This window comes from Homo sapiens, chromosome 1 (genome assembly GCF_000001405.40).
Source record: "Homo sapiens chromosome 1, GRCh38.p14 Primary Assembly".
NCBI lineage: Eukaryota > Metazoa > Chordata > Mammalia > Primates > Hominidae > Homo > Homo sapiens.
Window position 1 is genome coordinate 219,434,793 of NC_000001.11, and position 18,200 is coordinate 219,452,992.

The following is an 18,200-nucleotide window of genomic DNA, read 5'->3' on the forward strand; positions in this document are numbered from 1 at the left end:
ATCGGAGGGTTAGTGAGTCCTTTTTGCAATCAAGAAATAATCAGCCGTGTTCTTAGGAGATTTCACTCTGTTGTAACTGAATGTGATGCTGTACTGGAAAAAAAAAAATAAAGCAGAGCGCTGGGCCTGGGATAATGGTCCAGCTTGTCTGGACCCCATGTCCCCTCATCATGGGAGAAAGCATTTATTCCTTCTCTCTTTCACTCTTTGCTACAACAGATATCAAGTGAGCATGTACATGCAGCACACTCTGCGTGGCAGGCACTGGATATTCCTGAGTGAACAAAAGATGCACAGTCATTGATGTCATGGTGATCACAATCAAGTAGGGTGGAGCAGACAATAAACAAACACATAGATAAAACTGCAAATCCTTAAAGGTCTTATTGGATGCCAGAGATAAATACTTCCACTAAAAATGTCTTAGACAGTAAAGAGATTTAAAAACTAAGACATAGGGTGGTTCCAACAGTGGTCCAGCGACTCAGTCATGCCACTAAGGACCCAGAACTTTCTATCTTCTCAAGTTCCATCTTCAGCATGCTGAAACTTTCTACTTCAGTGGCTTTTTGAGATATTTTTCTAAAGACAGTTCCTTCTCCACAAGAAAATTAACAGCACCTGTTAGATAAAATTCAAAATTAAATTATTTACAGAAAGTTGTTATTAGCCTGCACTTAACTTGCATCTCTTTGATGGGCTTAGTGTACAATGTTATCTTCCTAATGTTAATAATAGTGAAAGATCAGGCTGGGTGCGGTGGCTCATGCCTGTAATCAATCCCAGTACTTTGGGAGGCCGAGGCAGGCGGATCACGAGGTCAGGAGTTTGAGACCAGCCTGGCCAACATAGTGAAACCCCGTCTGTACTAAAAATACAAAAAATAAGCTGGGTGTGGTGGTGCATGCCTGTAGTCCCAGCTACTCGGGAGGCTGAGGCAGGAGAATCACTTGAACCCGGGAGGTGGAGGTTGCAGTGAGCCGAGACCACACCATTACACTCCAGCCTGGGTGACATAGTGAGATTCCGTCCCAAAAATGATAATAATAATAATAATAATAGTGAAAGATCAGTGACACATCCCACATTCATTTAAAGCATTTGCAATGTCTGTTCTCATACAGTTTGTTCAAGTAATGCTGTCTACACAGTCTGCACCAGAATGCAAAATTTTGAAGAGAACTAGCCCCAATCCTTGTCTATACTCCTTTTCATTCTGCCCCAGTGCCATCTCCTATTACAAGAAGCTTCACACATAGACACAGGAACACACTAGCCCGTACACCCACACTCCAGTCACAGACTGTACAAGATCAGCCATAGTCACTGGTGTGCTTTGGGGTGCTCATACCTGTGTGCTGCCTGCTCTTAAAAGAAGACACCTGGGCAAGAGGCCCTCGCAGGCCCTGGAAGTAGGCTTTGGCCACTTGGACATAAAAGTCTGGGGTTCTAGCCTCCTAGAGGGATAGCCACTTTATGTCTTTAAAGAACTCTAGGTGCCTTTGTATTTGTGGGCCCCCTTTTCCATAAAATAAATCACAAGTTATGTCTTACGACTGTGTTGGTATAGAAATAAATATATTAATATGATGTCAGATATGTTTTCAACCTAAAAGTTCATTCTTTTTTTTCTGATTTTAAAAGAAATTTGAACATTTTTGTGGCCCCTAACAGTAATAGGGGCCCTTGGCACTCCACCTATTGTACCTAAAAGATAAATCTGCCTGCCCGGAGCTTAGTCTTGAAGGGGGAAGGAGTGTGTGCTCTAATTTGGCCTAGAGATTCCTTGCCCCATGGGAAGAGGCATAGCCAGAGCAGACCCTTAAGTCTGGACCCTTAAGTCACAGGGCTCAGATTTGGGGTTCCTCATCCACAAGGCTAAGTGTGTTACCATTTCATAATAAACATGTGCACTCAAGTGGGCAGTGAATTTTATTATTATGAAGAGCGTTGAGTTAATACTTGTTCTGCATTTGTATTAGTAAAGATCACATTCTGGTGGCTCTCCTCCATAAGAGAACAGCTGGCTCTGAAAAATGAAAGAACTTCTAGGGAGTCAAAACAACATCTTGCAACTTCTAAATAACAATTTTTCCAGGTTCTTTGCTTCAGTGTTTCAAAAAAATAAATCTCAGGGTTTAGTTTGAGATTGGGAACTCTGTTACACTATTTTTTCTTGATATATTAGACAACACAGAATTAACCAAGAAGGCTAGGAGAAAACTCTGGGTGCCTGTGAAGTTCTATGAACCACCTCTCTTACCTCTAGTGTATACAGAGTGGACTAGGTGTTTAGTGTTATCCTCTGAAGTAGCTGTAGTTTGCTTCTCCTCCTCCCATTCAAATACTTTAAGCTTCTCAGTACTTCTCTCTGGAAAATACTGGGAGTGTGACCCCACCAGTTAGTAGAAGTTGGAGTGCCACAGGGCTGGGTGAGCTCAGAGCAGGAGCAGGAATGCCACCATCAGCCTGTGGGACTCTCCCCTTCTCACACCATCTTTCCATGTTCTGCCCATCATCCCACCTGTAAAGCATTAATAACTAGGACATCCTGTTTTCTTTCTCTCTTCCCACCCCACTCCATCCCTCCTAAATAGCTCTCAAATCTTCCACGTCTTCTTCATCTCAAAGCCAGTATCCCAGCTAAGGACCTCACTGTCTCTTACCCGAACTCTTGCAATACACCCATTCCTGGTTTCCCTGACTCTGATCCTTCCCCTCCCTCCCTACATTTCCATATTAAATTGCAATAGGAGGGATCTCACATAGATCTGTGCTGCCAGGTACCTCTCCCAAACTGGAGTTCAGGGAAATGTTTCAGTAGATATTAAATATATATTTTATCTTGCCCCCTTTGGTACAATCTTTTATTCTATTGTTTTTAGGGTGTGCAACAATTAAGTCCCTTCTCTCCCTGGTCCCAAAGACACTCTGTATTTTATTTTATTATTTTATTGTATTTATTTTATTTTATTTTATTTTATTTTATTTTATGAAGGAATCTCAGTCTGTCACCCAAGCTAGAGTGCAGTGGTGTGATCTCAGCTCACTGCAACCTCCACCTCCCCGGTTCAAGTGATTATCCTGCCTCAGTCTCCCGTGTAGCTGGGATTACAGGCGCCCACCACCACGCCTGGCTAATTTTTGTATTTTTAGTAGAGATGGGGTTTCACCATGTTGGCTAGGCTGGTCTCGAACTCCTGACCTCAAGTGATCCAACCGCCTCGGCCTCCCAAAGTGCTGGGATTACAGACGTGAGCCACCACACCCAGCCCTATTTGTCTTTTTTAATTTCAGTGAGGAAAAAAGGACCCCTCTTATAGCAAGAGGCATAGGCCCCTCAAAGAATTTAATTACCCTTTACTTCCTATCAAATACAATGACAAAAACTATTTAGATATCATCAGCACTATGTTCAGTCCTCATCTGGAGACTTGAGACTGTGGTGGTAACACCTCTATAGTAGACATCCAGAGGGAGCCCATGCCTAGAGTTAGGTATCTGTTGGGAATTCCCAGGCTGTCATTCAGGTTAACAGAGGGAACTCTTTTCATTATATTTCTTAAGGTAGGGTTTTGGGGAAGGGATGGAATCCACGAAATTTGTCCATTAAAGAGGTCTATAAAATATTTTGCATTTTGTTCCTCGTGCAAAGTACCTGCACTTGTTTTATTCCTCTTATTGAACATGCAAATAACTAACAAGAAGGACTAAGAGAAGTCTATTACTCTCCATTGTTCTGTAGTAAACAGGAAAATTAGTCACATAGTGTTGCCAGGTTATCGTCAGCACCTATTTGGGAAGTTTCTTGGGGATTCCCACACAACAATTATAAACACATTTTTGACTTTGCATTTAAATGTTTTATTGGCAAACAGATAAATTAGAGGGTGAAATTATTCATACTACAGAAAGATGCTTCACAACAGCAAAAGATCACAAGGCATTTACTATGGCATTTATTCAAGTTTTGTTTCCACATCACTAAATAATTCAGAGGAGAAAAAACTAAAATGGGGAGTGTTCTAGGCCACTGTTGATAACATATCCATCCATCAAAAATGAAATTGTAATGACAAAGGACATTAGTATGTCAATGGTTAATTTATGTTTTACAATTTTTATTTCTTTAGACAGAAAGCTAAGCACTTGATAACCCTATTAAATCTTTTTCATGCTCTTTCTTGCCTACCTGATATATAAGATGTTTCATCCTGCACGTTCCTTCAACTTTATTTCTCTTTGCTCTCCGACTCACTCAAACTCTATTTTACCTTCAAACTCATTTCTGAACTATTTCCTGTGCTTGTCTTGCTCTACACTCCATTCCTACCTATCCCCAGTCCATCACCTGACAAACTCATACTCCTGTAAGACTCAGATTGGGCCTCACTGCTTCATAGGTACTCTTCTGACTTCCCTTGAGTTTACTGAAGTCCCCTTCTTGCACACTTCCTTTATGCCTTCCATATACCTCTATTAGAGCACAGATAACATGGAACTCTTGGTAACCTCCCCCACTAGATTACAAGTTTTTTGAGGACCAGAGTTGCCTTCCTCTTTTCATAACCAGGGTGCTGATGTTCAACACCTCCTCATGAATCACTCCAGTTCAAATCCTGCCTCTTCCATGATACGTTATCCAACCTCAGCAGCCTAGAATACTCCCTTACATTCCTACTCTCCAAAACAAATGAAACTTCCAAAGCACTTGTTTATATTTTGCTTTGTGAACAGCTCTTTTCAAGGAAATGTGCAAAACACAGTCCTTATCTTTTAACCACAATATTAGATATATCAAAATAGTTAGAATACTATGGACACTCCTAGGATTGGGCCACACTAAATAGTGGCTATTTCATAAGTGCTTGCTCAGCTTAATGGAATTAGTGTGAAAGACGAAATAGTGGGGTCTGGCATTGTGGATATATACTGTTTGCAGAGCATCCTTGCTGTTGGGAAAGCATATATATTATAACTTATGGCCTTCTGGCTTTTATGGAATCATCAAATATTTTTTATGATTATATAACAAAATTAAGTTTGAAAAAAGCAATCCCTAAAGGACAAAAGCAAACTAAAACAAGTAAACCCAACTAGACATTGCTTTATGGCATAATCACACACAGAGAAACTATTTTAATTGTCTTAAGAAGACAAAACTGACTATATATATATATACATATATATATATATATACACACATATATATATATATATACACACACACACATATATATATATATACACTCAGTGGGATTTTCTCTAGTGATACTAAGAAATTCAAACACACACACACACACTCTCACTCTCTTTTCAGTAATCATATTATTGATAGTGCTATTGGAATTGTTATTTTAAGATTATTCCATTGGGAGTTCCTTATTTTCAGCCTACAAAAAGAAAAAAATATGTAACGTAGATTAGATTAAGCAAAAATTCTACAGTCTTAAATTTGATTTTGAAGTATTAGTATGACCTCATGATAATTTCTTCTTTTAAAAAAACCTATTTACTACCTCTGCCCACTGAAACATGTCTAAAAACAAAGGTCAACCCAGGATCGATGTGTATTCCCTAAATGCCACTAAGAAATGACTAACATCATGTCTGGGAAGGAAATGTACAAAATGAGCCTGGATCTTCATGTACCATAGAGAAAACATAACATCAAAGACCACTGAAAGTGTGTAGAAAGGACTCAGGAGCCATCCTGAGGAGCCTCTTACTGGCCAGAGATGGGTCAATTTAAATATCAGTAAAGATAATGGCAATAGATTGAAAGACATCAGATATATTTAAATTTCTTAGTTAATAATGGCTATAGAAATAAAAACAATTGGCCACTTTTGACCAGTGAGTTATTTAACTATGTTGAAAACTGGTAAATAAAGAAAAAAGATTAAGCATTTATTCTGACTTTTCTATATGACCAATACTTCAAGTCAACCAAGTAATGTATGAGAATTTTCTCTTTATGGAAGGATTCCAGGTAACAAATTTAAAGAGTATGATAGAATTATAATATCACCTTTCTGCTACTCCTAATGATATAGTGTATCTAAATAGTAGTCATCAATCACTGCTGACTTCACGAAAAAGGAGACAATTAGACATTTTATATGCCCTAATAGAGGCTCACAGCACCATTTATGAAGTTGACTTGCCAAATGAATCCAAGGTGAATGTGATTGAGCCTCTAGATCCAACTAATAATTTGCAGAAAACACATGGGACAGAAAAGCATGATACGTGAAACCACAAGGATCCAATTAGCAAATTCTTACGGGGGAAATTCTACAGGAAAACAATGTGTTTAAAAAACAAAAGAGTAAGAGGAAAATTGAATCTATACATTAAAGGAAATTTAAATGACATATCAACCAATTTTAGTGTATGGAACTTATTTTGATGCTGATTTGAAGATATTTTATAAATGTATCAAAATTATAAGATAATCAGACATCTGTATACAGACATTTAATATTAAGGAACTATCATTAGGTAGGATAATGATATTGTGCTCATTCGTAAAACAATATTTCTATTTTAGAGATAAAGAATTAACATTTTACAGATGAAATAAGATGAGGCCCGAGATTCATTTGAAATAATCCAGGTAATTGTGGAAATGGATAGGGGTGCAGATGAAGCAAGATTGTCCATGTGTTGATAATTGTTTAAGAAGGAAATTGGTATATGGAGGCTTATTATGCTATTCTCTATATTTTTGAATGTGCTAAATAATCTACAATGAAGTGTTTTTGAAAAAGATATTGAATAGCTAATAGAGTATTAGAAGGGCCAGAAAACAAAAGCATAAGACCCAGCTTCTAGCAATAATGCAAAATTAAGTCTCAGAAACACTTTCGTAAGGAAAACGCTGTAGCCACCACTAACCATCATTGGAGTCATCTGCTCTTATAGCAGAGCGAGAGACAGAGAAAGAGCCACTGCCAGAGAGCACAAGCATACTCTCCACTCATTCCCTCTCAGGAACTTTTGAGGAAAAATCTGCGGCAGATGCCTGTGGTTATCAGAGCCTTTGCCATAGCTTCAAGGGAGTCTGGGAAAGAGGGGAAAGTAATCATCTAGTATTATCTGTTCCAATTACAAGGTTTCCTGTCCCATCCCCACTGCAAAGAATCAAAATGAGAGCAATTCCAAAAATACAGAAAATAATTCAGAAATCAAAAAGCAAAATTGAATGAACAATATTTACCTCCCTGGGCAAGTAGGAACCTCCCTGAGTTTCAGTTTCCTCATCTGGCAAATGATTAAACAATACCATTCTCCCAAGATTGCTTTGAGGACTGAAAGCAATAATGTGTCTATTAAACAGCACAATACAAAAGGTCCCTCAGCAATCTTTCCTTCCTCCCTGTTTTTCTCCCCTCTTCCCTTCCTTTCCATTTAATTTCCTATCTCACTTCAGTTTCTATGTTCTTTGTGTTTTCAGGATAATATTCTATTTACTTAAGGGACACAAAGTAAATAAATGTTTTTGAAACTGAATTGGATTGAAGTGGATCCAGATTTTCACAGGAAAAAAAAGTTTCCTTTTCCCTTAGTTCTCCTTACACACCTGGCTTTGCAGGAAAAGAAATTATCATTTGGAAACACACATCTGCCTCAGCCACAGGTGAGATATTAATGCATTCCCACATGTCCCAAATCCTCGATCTTTGATCAGTATGATGGGAACTTTCATTGTCCAATAAAGCAAGGGACGGACTCTTTGTTTCATTCAAGTCAGTATTTCTTCTAACGGAAACTCACCCCAGGATGAAACAGCCCTGCATTTCCAGCAGCCTCTGGAGTGTCAGGTGGCCCTTCAGCCTTTGAATGCCGTGGGCTGGATTGACTCAACCATGGTTAGCTGACTTTTATTTCTTTTCTTCCTTCCTGCTCATTCAATATCATCAACCAGAGGGAAGGAGCTCTGTGTCATAAAAGTGACCACAGCTGAGCCAATCTCGCCCTATGCCAGTCCACGTGGTAATTTTGGAAGGGCCCTGGGATATCTGACCTTATGATGGTAAGAAAGTTTTGTGATTAATGGTGATTTTTATCTTCCGACTTCAAAGATTGACTCATGCAGAGAATGAGCAATCTATAGGTCAGATATCTTACATCCCAGTTATTTTCTTTCTTCAGTCAAGTATTGGGAGAACTAAACACTGACCAGCTGTAAAAGACATCTATCCTGTCTGCAGAAAAGCCTATCTAATGGGCCTCTGAGGGGAATTGTTTAAAATAATGCTATGCAATTTCTCCAAGAGTTTCTGCTGGAAAAAAAAAAAAATGAACAAATGGAAAATTTAACGCCTGAATGATCGATACTTTCTTCATGAAGCAAGGTTATTCTCTTGCCTTTTTCTCTTGTGGATGAGGTATTTTGCAGGTACTTTAAGAAGTCAACCTACCTTTTATTCAGCAATGTATCAAATATTTATTGAGGGTTTTATTACAAGATACAGTACAGGTCCATGGGGTTATAAGGGTAGAAATAAGTGGTGCCCAGCACTGAAGGATTTTAATAATAATAATGTTAGCAATGCCAATCATAACCTCTAATGCATCTACTAAGCTTTACTTTTTACAGTGCTTTAATATATCCTGTCATTTTAATAATTCTTATAATTTGTTATAATGTGATAACTTTTTAACATCATTTTAGCATTATATTTTATTTCATCTCATTTGATAATATAAGATGCTTAGCCCATTGTGTGCCCAGAAGTACAGTAAGTCCTTACTTATCTTGGACAATAGGTTCTTGGAAACTGGAACTTCAAGTGAAAGAACACATAACGAAAATAGCTTTGCTATAAGCTAACCGATCTAAACAAGAGTTAAGTTGCTACAGCATATTTTGGTCACAAAAAAAAAAATCACCAAACTTCTAAAGAAAGACCCAAACACTTCTAATATTGAAATAAACATCAAAATAACTTTGAAAGGAAGGTGAGCTACACATACACTTAAGAAAGGTTAACAAAAACAAGTAAGATAATAATTTACCCACTTATTCAAGTTCAGAAGCTCAAGGGGCCAGAGCCACTTCTGGTAGCTCAGGGTACCAGGCTGGAACCAGCCCCAGACAGGTCACCATTCCCATTGCAGGGCCCACTCATACATAGCAACACTCACTCACGCTGGGACCAGTGAGACACACTGATTCATCTAACGGACACAGCTTTGGGTTTTGGGAGGAAACCAGACATGGGGAGGACATGCAAAGTCCACACACACAATGACTTCAGCTAGGAATCCATTTTTTTTTTCTCATCAACATTATAAGGAAATTACATTGAACTTAAATGACATTATTCAAGGACCTGCTTTGTAAGCTTAAGAAACAGTAGAACCCCCCTTACCCAGACACCTTGTTCCCTTAGGTATAATGAATTTAAAACTGCATTTGCATATTTACATCAAACACTTGTCACATAGCTGGGCTTTCTGTTTTGTGTAGCCAGGAGGATTTCATAACTTTTCCAAACAACAACTGCCTATTTTACATTGACTTAGTTTCCTCTTTCCTTTGTGTACACAGGTAGAAAAGGCTTGGACTACATGTTTGGTTTGAAGTTTGAAAATCTCAGTCCTTCCCCAACCATCAAAAATATTTACCTCCCTCCCTTGTCTCACAATCATCTAAGCTGCCTTCTTGAATTGACTCCCACACCTGTTCATCATAGAAGGAAAAAAATAAAAGCAAATGCCATATAAAATCTCTCTTCTTCAACAAGGTCTTCTGTTTTGAAATATTGAAACAGTTCCTGTTCTATTACCTCACCAGCTGTGGCCTTTTATCTCCTAAAGGGAATAGCTGACGTCTTACCAGTCAAAGTCATTGTGCTTACGGACGCCATAAATATCTCCTTTAAATCCTACATGATAAATTTCCCTCTGATTGGTAAAGCAGATACTGTAACATGCAAAGGGGGAGCAGGAGAGTCTTTGATGATGTTAAACTAAGCCCCTGGAGATATCCCAGCTCTTCCTCCAGAATTTTACTTTCCAACAACTGGAGTCAACAAATACGGTAGAAAATGTTGTCTGGATTATCTACTCCCATTATTTTTTTTTAAACTGGTTTTCAATGATGGGCAACCTAAAATTTACTCACACAGAACACAAAACAGTTGAATTTGTTAAAAGTCCAAAATGTGCTTTTGTACTTTTGTAAAATGGGAATGTGCTTCTTGTACAAATCACAATATGCTTTCTAGACCACAACCTAAAAAGGAAAGAAAAAAATCCTGTGAATAAAAAAAAAAAACAAGGACTTTCAGTTTTCTACATGCATTTGAAATGACTTTATCTCTGACTCATGTTCTACTTTATTTTTGATTGGGAAGACCTGTTCCTATACTGTAATTTTTTTTTAATAATAAGTTTCCATTTGTAACTATTAGTTGGTCTTTCCACAAAATTGGTTTGCTGGAAAGGACTGAGAAGAGAAAGAGCATTCCTGGATCAATGGAACTGATGAGTGTGGAAGTCCTTGAACTTGACCAAGCATTGTCAATTCTCATAGTCTGACCAAAAAAAAACTAGATTATTTTGTGTGTTTTTCTTGGTGCTCCTAATGTAAGTTTATTCAAATTGGGGGGGGGGCGGTGGGGGGAACAAACAAGTAGACTGCAGTTGTAAGAGAAAAAAGGTGAAAATAAATTATTTTGGTGTTTTTTATTACTTGGAACTTTATTTATTGTAGGATATAGATTTAAGATAATTTTTTGTTTGTTTGTTTATTTTATTTTTATTTATTTATTTGTTGAGATGGAGTTTCGCTCTTGTTGCCCAGGCTGTAGTGCAATGGCACAATCTCGGCTCACCACAACCTCCGCCTCCCTGGTTCAAGCAATTCTCCTGCCTCAGCCTCCCGAGTAGCTGGGATTACAGGCATGCACCACCACGCCCGGCTAATTTTGTATTTTTAGTAGAGACGGAGTTTCTCCATGTTGGTCAGGCTGGTCTCAAACTCTCAACCTCAGGTGATCCGCCTGCCTAGGCCTCCCAAAGTGTACCACGCCCGGCCTTGTTTTATTTTTATAAGCAACAGACAGTCTCTATAATCTGTGGAATCAGGGTATAATATAAATAATAACACACCCAAAAGGTGGGCAAAGAGACATCCACCCTGACACTCAATCCTTTTGGTGCCAACCCCATAGGCAGCCAAGAAGCCCTTTGACAATGAAGAGAAAGGAACTGAAGCTGGAAGATACATGAAAGATAATTGGTAGCTTTGGGGCCGATACAGCAAAGAAGTTGAAAGTGGTGTCTGCCATTTATAGAAATGACTCATTTCTTTAAGTGGCCTAAACCCTATTACCAATTTAACTCATGCCCCCAACTCACATATTTCCCTGGCCATCCCACCTTAAACAGAATAAGACAGACAAGTTACTATATATTTCACTAAGCATTCGAATTTATTAGAGTCTGCACTTTGCTCAGATGAAGGGTTTGTGGTCTTATCCGCTGCTCCTAGCTGGGAGTTGGAGTGTGTTGCTCAGTTAATATAGTATGTCCTCTGTATGTTCTCCTGTAACAACTGGACAGTGTTTTCCTTGGCCAGAGGGGCTGAGCTGTATTCACTTGCTCAAGGACTACAAGGTACCCAGTGGAATGTTTCATGTTTATTGGCTCTTAATGGACTACTACTGAGGACTTGAGGGAAACAAACTATAAGCCATTCATGCTCAGTCAAGCTTCCTTGGAGGAGACTGAATTCCCCCTGTGATCGCTGCCACCCTGCTGATTCAACCGCCACTCAGACTGCCATCAGAGGTTACTGGCTCTAGACTGTAAGTTACAGGAAACCTTTCGGCCTCTACTTGGTTATTTATAGAAGAGTTTATAGGATTCTTCCACAACTCAAGGGAGGAAAATCAAACAAATGTCACCTCCTATTATCATGGCAACTAAGTTCCACTCTGAAAATAGAAGCTGGAACTTTAACCTGTTAACTAGTAAACCAATCTACTGATGTGTTTATGTTTTAGCAATACTTTTTACATTAAAAAAATTATTTCAAATCTGTACCACTCTCGGGAATTTTCCCTGATGAAGCCCACTCTTACTTGCATTCTTTGACACCTCTTTGCATTGGGCTAATGCTTTAATAATGGACTTCAAGTGCACGGAATTTGATTATTCATAATGATTTCTTTCTTTCCTTCTTTTATTTCTTCCTTCTTTTACTTCTTCCCCCCACCGTGCCCCCCACCCGCCCCTGTCTCTCTCTGTCTCTCGGTCTCTCTCTCTCTCTTTCATCTTTCACAAATACTAATATAAAACTTACTATGTACCAGGCATTATTCTAAGATTTTCAACCTTCATAACAACCCTAGGAGGCTAAGTACTGTTATTAATTCCATTTTAAAGATGAGAAGAGTTGATTTATATTGATTTATGATATACTATCATCACTGGTCTCATCATGACTCTATTTTATTTTTTCATTTACCCGTTGTATTCCCTGGCTTATTACTTTGTTAGTGATAAAAGTCAACTACCCAACCCAAGAATTTAAACATGAGCAATGTTTGCGCCTATCTATAGAATCCTCCCCATCCCGTTACCCTGCTGCATAACTCTGACATGCTGAATTTTGTGTTTATATTATTTTCTTGCATTTTTTAAAAGATAATTTTAGCAAATATATGTTTGCTCAAAAACGTTATTGCTTATAAAGACTATCATGCTGTGATCATCTGAGAACCTGCTATCACTAAGCATCATATTATCACATATACCTGTAGTTCATTTATTTTCATTGCAATAAGTTATTCTGGATATACTACAATTCGTTTCCCTCTGGATAGGCATTTGCTATCTGCTCTTGTTATTATAAACACTACTTTTTTGAACACTTTTATGTGTTTATCTGGGTGCACAAATGTGATAATTTCCTTTAATATGTACACCTAGAAAATTGTGGGGTCATAAGGTGTGTGAATATTAAACTTTAAAAGATAATGTCAAGTGGTTAACCAATTTATACCAGCACTATATAAGAAATCTGGTTGATCCATATACTTTTCAATTTTGCTGTAGTTTAAATTCTTAATTATTGCCAATAAATTGAGCATAAAGAGATATCCATTATCTCTTTGATAATGATATTGATTTGCTATTCTATATATTGATTTGCTCATCAATATTGCTATAAGACTCAAGATCCTTCCATATGTTCTTAGCTGTATGTTTCTCCTTCTGTTTCTCCTCTGTAAAATGTTGATTTTTTTTTTTTTTGGTCTATCAAGTGGTTTGGCCTTTCCTTATTATTTTATGAGTCTTTACATATGCTTGATACTAAACCTTTCTCAATTATATGTTCCAAATGAATTTTTCTCAGGTTGTAGCTTGCTTTTTCATCTTAAGAATTCTTCTGATGAACAGAATTTCTTAATTTTAATACTCAAAAATCATAAATCTTTTCTTTTATGGTTTGTACTTTTTGCTCCTGTTTAAGAAATCCTTCCCTACCCCAAGATTGGAAAGATATCCACCTATATTTTTCTACTAAGTATTTAAAATTTGCTTTTGACATTTAAGTCCCTAATCCATCTGGAGTTGATTTATGGGTATGGTGTAAGGGTGGGATCCAAATTCACTTTTTTTCCAAATGGACAACCAATTTTTCCAGCTCCTTTTATTGAATAATCCCTCTTTTCTCCACTGAAATGCCAGGCCACCTCTGCCCTCATTAAAGTTCCACATATGCATGGATTTATTTCTGGGCTCTCTATTCTATCCCATTGTCCATCTGTCTACACCTGCAGTGTGGTCTTCTGGTAAGAGCATGGTACTTAGTCAAAAGTACTGGTCATTTATAACCAAAGGGACTTTAGTAGGTCACCTGACCATTCTGTTCAGTTTTCTCTTTCATAACACTTGGATAACAATTTCCTTCCTCATGAGAATGCTGTGAAGACAAAGGGAAATCTGTGATACAGTTTTCTAACCTATAAAATTCTTTGAAATATTTTAGGTTGTTTGTTTCATAAACATTTTCTAAGTGTTTCTTTCTTCTTTTTTTTTTTTTTTTTGTCTTTCAGAAATCTTTTGGTTATTAGTAACAAAAAACCTGACTTGCACTGGCTTTAAAAATACAATTTAATGGCCCAAGTAACTTAAATATTCAGGTGGTAGGGCCCGCCTTGGGTGAGGCTTTAAATAATTTTTCCCTCCCTCTTCCCTGATTCCTGCAATGTCACCTTCATTTTGAGAACTTATGATTCCAACGCGGCTGTCAGAGGCTTCTGGGGCTACACGAGTCGCTGTTCACATCCAGCGTTAAAACAACCCTCTCCAGATAGTTCCCAGAGAAGAAAGAGGAAACTTTTTCCCCAGACATCCTGGCCAAAGTTCTCTGACTCATGTCGTGTAGGCTTCATCTGGGGCATTTGCTCCATCCTTCTCTGAAAAGAAGCAGAGAATGGATGCTGGGGGATAGGGGGCAGCACCCATAGCAAATGGACGTTACATTTTAATTTTAATTTTGAACAAAAGAACACACGTATATGGTGACAAATCAAGTAGTGCTGAAGAGTTTACAGGGAGAAAAGCAACAGCCACTCTCACCAACGCTGGTCTTACTCCAGGGGGAAAATATTTTTAACCCAGTCTGCACTGGACTCTCCCACTGGACTGCTGTCCTAACTCTTTAACAATTTAGACCTGATTTCTTTTTGAATTCAGCTTTATACATGCCAATGCACTTCTACTTCTCCATCCTTACAACTCACTCATTCCAAAGTTTGATAGTAATGCTGTTATTTTAAAATATTTTATTGTTTACCTTTGTGACTTTAAATAATATACTTGTATTTCTTTTCCCATCTATTTTAATTAGTATCTCAAGTTTCTTCTCTGAAGAATTTTAGCTAGCTTTTCCATCTCCTCTACCCAGTCTTCACTCACTCCCTCTTTCTGTCATGTGCATTTTGTCTTTTGCATTATCACGATTGTGAACATTCATAGTGTGTCCCTCAACCGTAAATAATACTTTCCTGCTCTGTACATATTACAAGTTGAAGTTTGCAAAAATTGTTCACCATGGGCTCAAGTTTTGTGCTAACATAATATTTCCTTTCCTGTGGGTCCAGCATTACTCAAAGCAGGCCCCTACACTACTCCAAGTAAAATGTCCTTTTGCAGCAAGGTTAAATAGAACCTGTTCTATTGTATTTTTCCAATTATGCTTTTAATTTGTGTGTTATTTGCATAATAACTTTCTCCAACACATTTCATTTTTTGGACACCTACTTCATGTTGTTTTGTTTTTTCTTTTGTCCTCCTACGTGAAACTGGAATGTTTTCTCTTTAAGTCTGTTTTGTAGCAGTCATTTTGCAACTCCTCTTTTCTGCTGTCCTGTGTTGGAACCATGATCCTCGGAACCTCATGTCTCCCATTTGTTGTTTCTTTCCTCCTGTTGCTTGACTGTATTGTATCTTCAATTAACTCCCTTAAAAGGCACGATTAAAAGGTAAACGTTACCCTCCTTTGCCTGTCAGAAAAAAATTATTTTGTTCTCACACCTGATTGATATGTTGGCTCAGAAATTTGAGAGAACATTGCTTCATTTTCCTGTAATATCCAATTGTTCATGAGAAGTCTGACATTAATCTGATCCTTATTCCTTTACATATGGCTTGTTTTTCCTGTCCAGAAGACTTTATCAACATGCCTTGATCCTAGCTGCATTATAATTTAATGAGAATATTTTATATTTCTGATTTAAAATTCATCTTGCTTAACAGTGAACCCCTTCAATCTGAATATTCTAGGAAGTTTCTTGTGACATTAAAAACCAATCCCCTTCCCCTATTTTCACCATTCCTGTTTTAGGTGTCATAAATAGGTGAGTTTGGAACCTGCTTTCATTTAAAATGTCCCCTCCAAAATTTATATTGAAATTTGATTGCTAGTGTGGCAGCATTAATAGGTGGGACCTTTAAGAGGTGATTAGGTCATAGGGTAAGAGTGGATTAAAGGATTAAAGCTGTTATTGCTGTAGTAGATCAGTTATCTCAGGAGTTCACCCCTTTTTTCTGTCTCCCATGCTCCCTTGTCTTTCCACTTTCCTTCATGAGATGACACAACAATAAGGCCCCCACCAGATGGCTGAGCAGATGCCAGTGCCATGCCCTTGGACATCCCAGTCTCCAGAACCATAAGCAAAATAAATTTCTTTTCTTTATAAATTACCCAGTCTGTAGTATTCTTTTACAGCAGGAGAAAGCAGACTAAGACAGGACCACCTGAATTGGTCTCTTGCTTTGTCTAAATTATATTTAACCATACAAAAGATGAAATGTGCTAATCTTAAGTGTATATACATTTATACATTCACATAACCGCTATCCAAATAAAGATATGGAATGCCTCCAGCATCTCAGAAGTCAATAACCTCATATTTCAAGGTATCATCAATTGGTTTTGCCTGTTCTTGAACTTTTTATAAATGGAATTATACAGTATACACTCTTATTTGTCTGGCTTCTTTCACTTAACATAATGTCTGTGAGATTCATCTATGCGATTTAAAATATCAGTAGTTGGTTATTTTTTAAATTGCAGTATAATTTTCCATCTTCCACAATTATTAGACCTCCTGTTGGTGGACATGTTTCCAGTTTGGAGTTATTATGAAAAATGCAAATGTGATCATTCTTATATATGAGTTTTGAAGAATATATTACTTATTTCTTTTAGGTATCTATCTAAAAATGGAATTATTGGGTCTCTATGTTCAACTTTATAAGAAACTGTCAAACTTTTTTCCAAACTGTACCAACGTACACTCCTGCTATGATACTGTATGAGAATTCCAGTTGTTCAACCGCCTTACCAATATGAGTTACTGTCAGTCCTTCAGTCTTTTTAATTTTAGCCATTCCAATGGGTGTAAATGGTATTTCATTATAGATTTGCTTTGTATTTTTCTAAAGAGTAATGATGTTGAACCTTTTTTCTATGTGTATGGCCCTTTGGATATCCTCTTTTATAAAATTTTTGCTCAGGAGTTTTTTATGCATTTTAAAATTGAGTTATATGCATTTTCTCATTGATTTGTAGAAGATTCTGTATATTCTGGACAGAAGTAGTTTTTAGACGTATGTATTATAACTGTCTTCTTGCATGCTGTGGCTTGCCTTTTTTCTTAATGGTATTTTTACATTAATAGAATTGTTTAAATATAAGGAAGCCAGGCGTGAGGGCTCACACCTGTTATCCCAGCACTTTGGGAGGCAGAGATGGGTGGATCACCTGAGGTCAGGAGTTCGAGACCAGCCTGGCCAACATGATGAAACCCTGTCTCTACTAAAAGTACAAAAATTAGCCAGGTATGGTGGTAGGCATGCCTGAAGTCCCAGCTACTCAGGATGCTGAGGCAGGAAAACCACTTGAACCCAGGAGGCAGAGGTTTCAGTGAACCTAGATCATGCCATTGCACTCCAGCCTAGGTGAAAGAGCAAGACCATCTAAAATAAATAAATAAATAAATAAATATCTCCATGTTCCCAATCTTTTCATTTATGATTAGTGCCTATTTAAGAAATATTTGCTTACCCCCAAATTCATGAAGATACTCTTCTATAATTTCATCTAAAGCCTTTATTTAAAAAAATGTTTTATATTTAGATTTACAAGCCATTGCACATTAATTTTTGTGTATGATGTGAGACAGGTGTCACTAGCATCACTTTGATTGAAAAGGCCACTTTCTCCACTAAATTGCAGTACCAGTGTTGCTGAAAATCAACTGACTATATATGTGTGGGCCTTTTTCTGGACTCTCTATACTATTCAATTTACCTACTTGTCTAGCCGTGCACCAATACCACACTCCCTTAATTACTGTTTTTACTGTGAATCTTAAAATCTTATTAAGTGTTGCCATTTCATCTTTTTTTTTTTCAAAATTGTCTTGGCAATTCTACGACTTTTATATTTCCATATACACTTTAGAAAAAGCTTGTCAATTTCCACAAAGAAAAATTTATTGGTATTTGATCAGGATTGCATTGAATCTACAGTTCAGTTAGGGTAAACTTGAGATCTTAACAAAACTGAATTCCTAATCCATAAATATGGCATATTTTTCTATTAATCTCCAATTACTTTAGACACATTGATTTTCTCTTAGCAATATTGTATATTTTTAAGTCTTGCA

The 18,200-nt window shown here is 37.4% G+C and overlaps 1 protein-coding gene and 1 long non-coding RNA gene across 5 annotated transcripts in view, besides 1 other annotated feature; one reads left to right on the forward strand and one right to left on the reverse strand.

Moving 5' to 3' along the window:
• Nucleotides 1–10,704, forward strand: part of LYPLAL1 (lysophospholipase like 1) — a 271,619-nt gene extending 260,915 nt beyond the window's left edge. For 2 of the 4 annotated variants that reach the window (XR_001736967.3, XR_007078564.1), the window contains 2 exons: nucleotides 7,460–7,642; nucleotides 9,560–10,704. The gene's annotated coding sequence lies outside the window, so the exon portion shown is untranslated. Of the gene's footprint in view, nucleotides 1–7,459 lie in introns of all 4 variants that reach the window. The other 2 variants (XR_007078562.1, XR_007078557.1) reach the window with 2 other exon arrangements.
• LYPLAL1-AS1 (LYPLAL1 antisense RNA 1) overlaps nucleotides 366–18,200 on the reverse strand; it is a 122,167-nt gene continuing 104,332 nt past the window's right edge. Inside the window, exons 3-4 of the long non-coding RNA NR_135822.1 lie at nucleotides 2,264–2,381; nucleotides 366–621 (exon numbers count right to left, since the gene is read on the reverse strand). This is a non-coding gene — a long non-coding RNA (LYPLAL1 antisense RNA 1). The remainder of the gene's footprint in view (nucleotides 622–2,263; nucleotides 2,382–18,200) is intronic.
• Nucleotides 7,306–8,505: an enhancer, noted in NCBI's record as "CDK7 strongly-dependent group 2 enhancer chr1:219615440-219616639 (GRCh37/hg19 assembly coordinates)". NCBI's record gives its function as "activates an origin of replication core promoter dependent on BRD2, BRD4, P300/CBP, MED14 and CDK7 cofactors, with strong dependence on CDK7, by STARR-seq in HCT116 cells {active_cell/tissue: HCT116}" and the evidence as "EXISTENCE:reporter gene assay evidence [ECO:0000049][PMID:35650434]".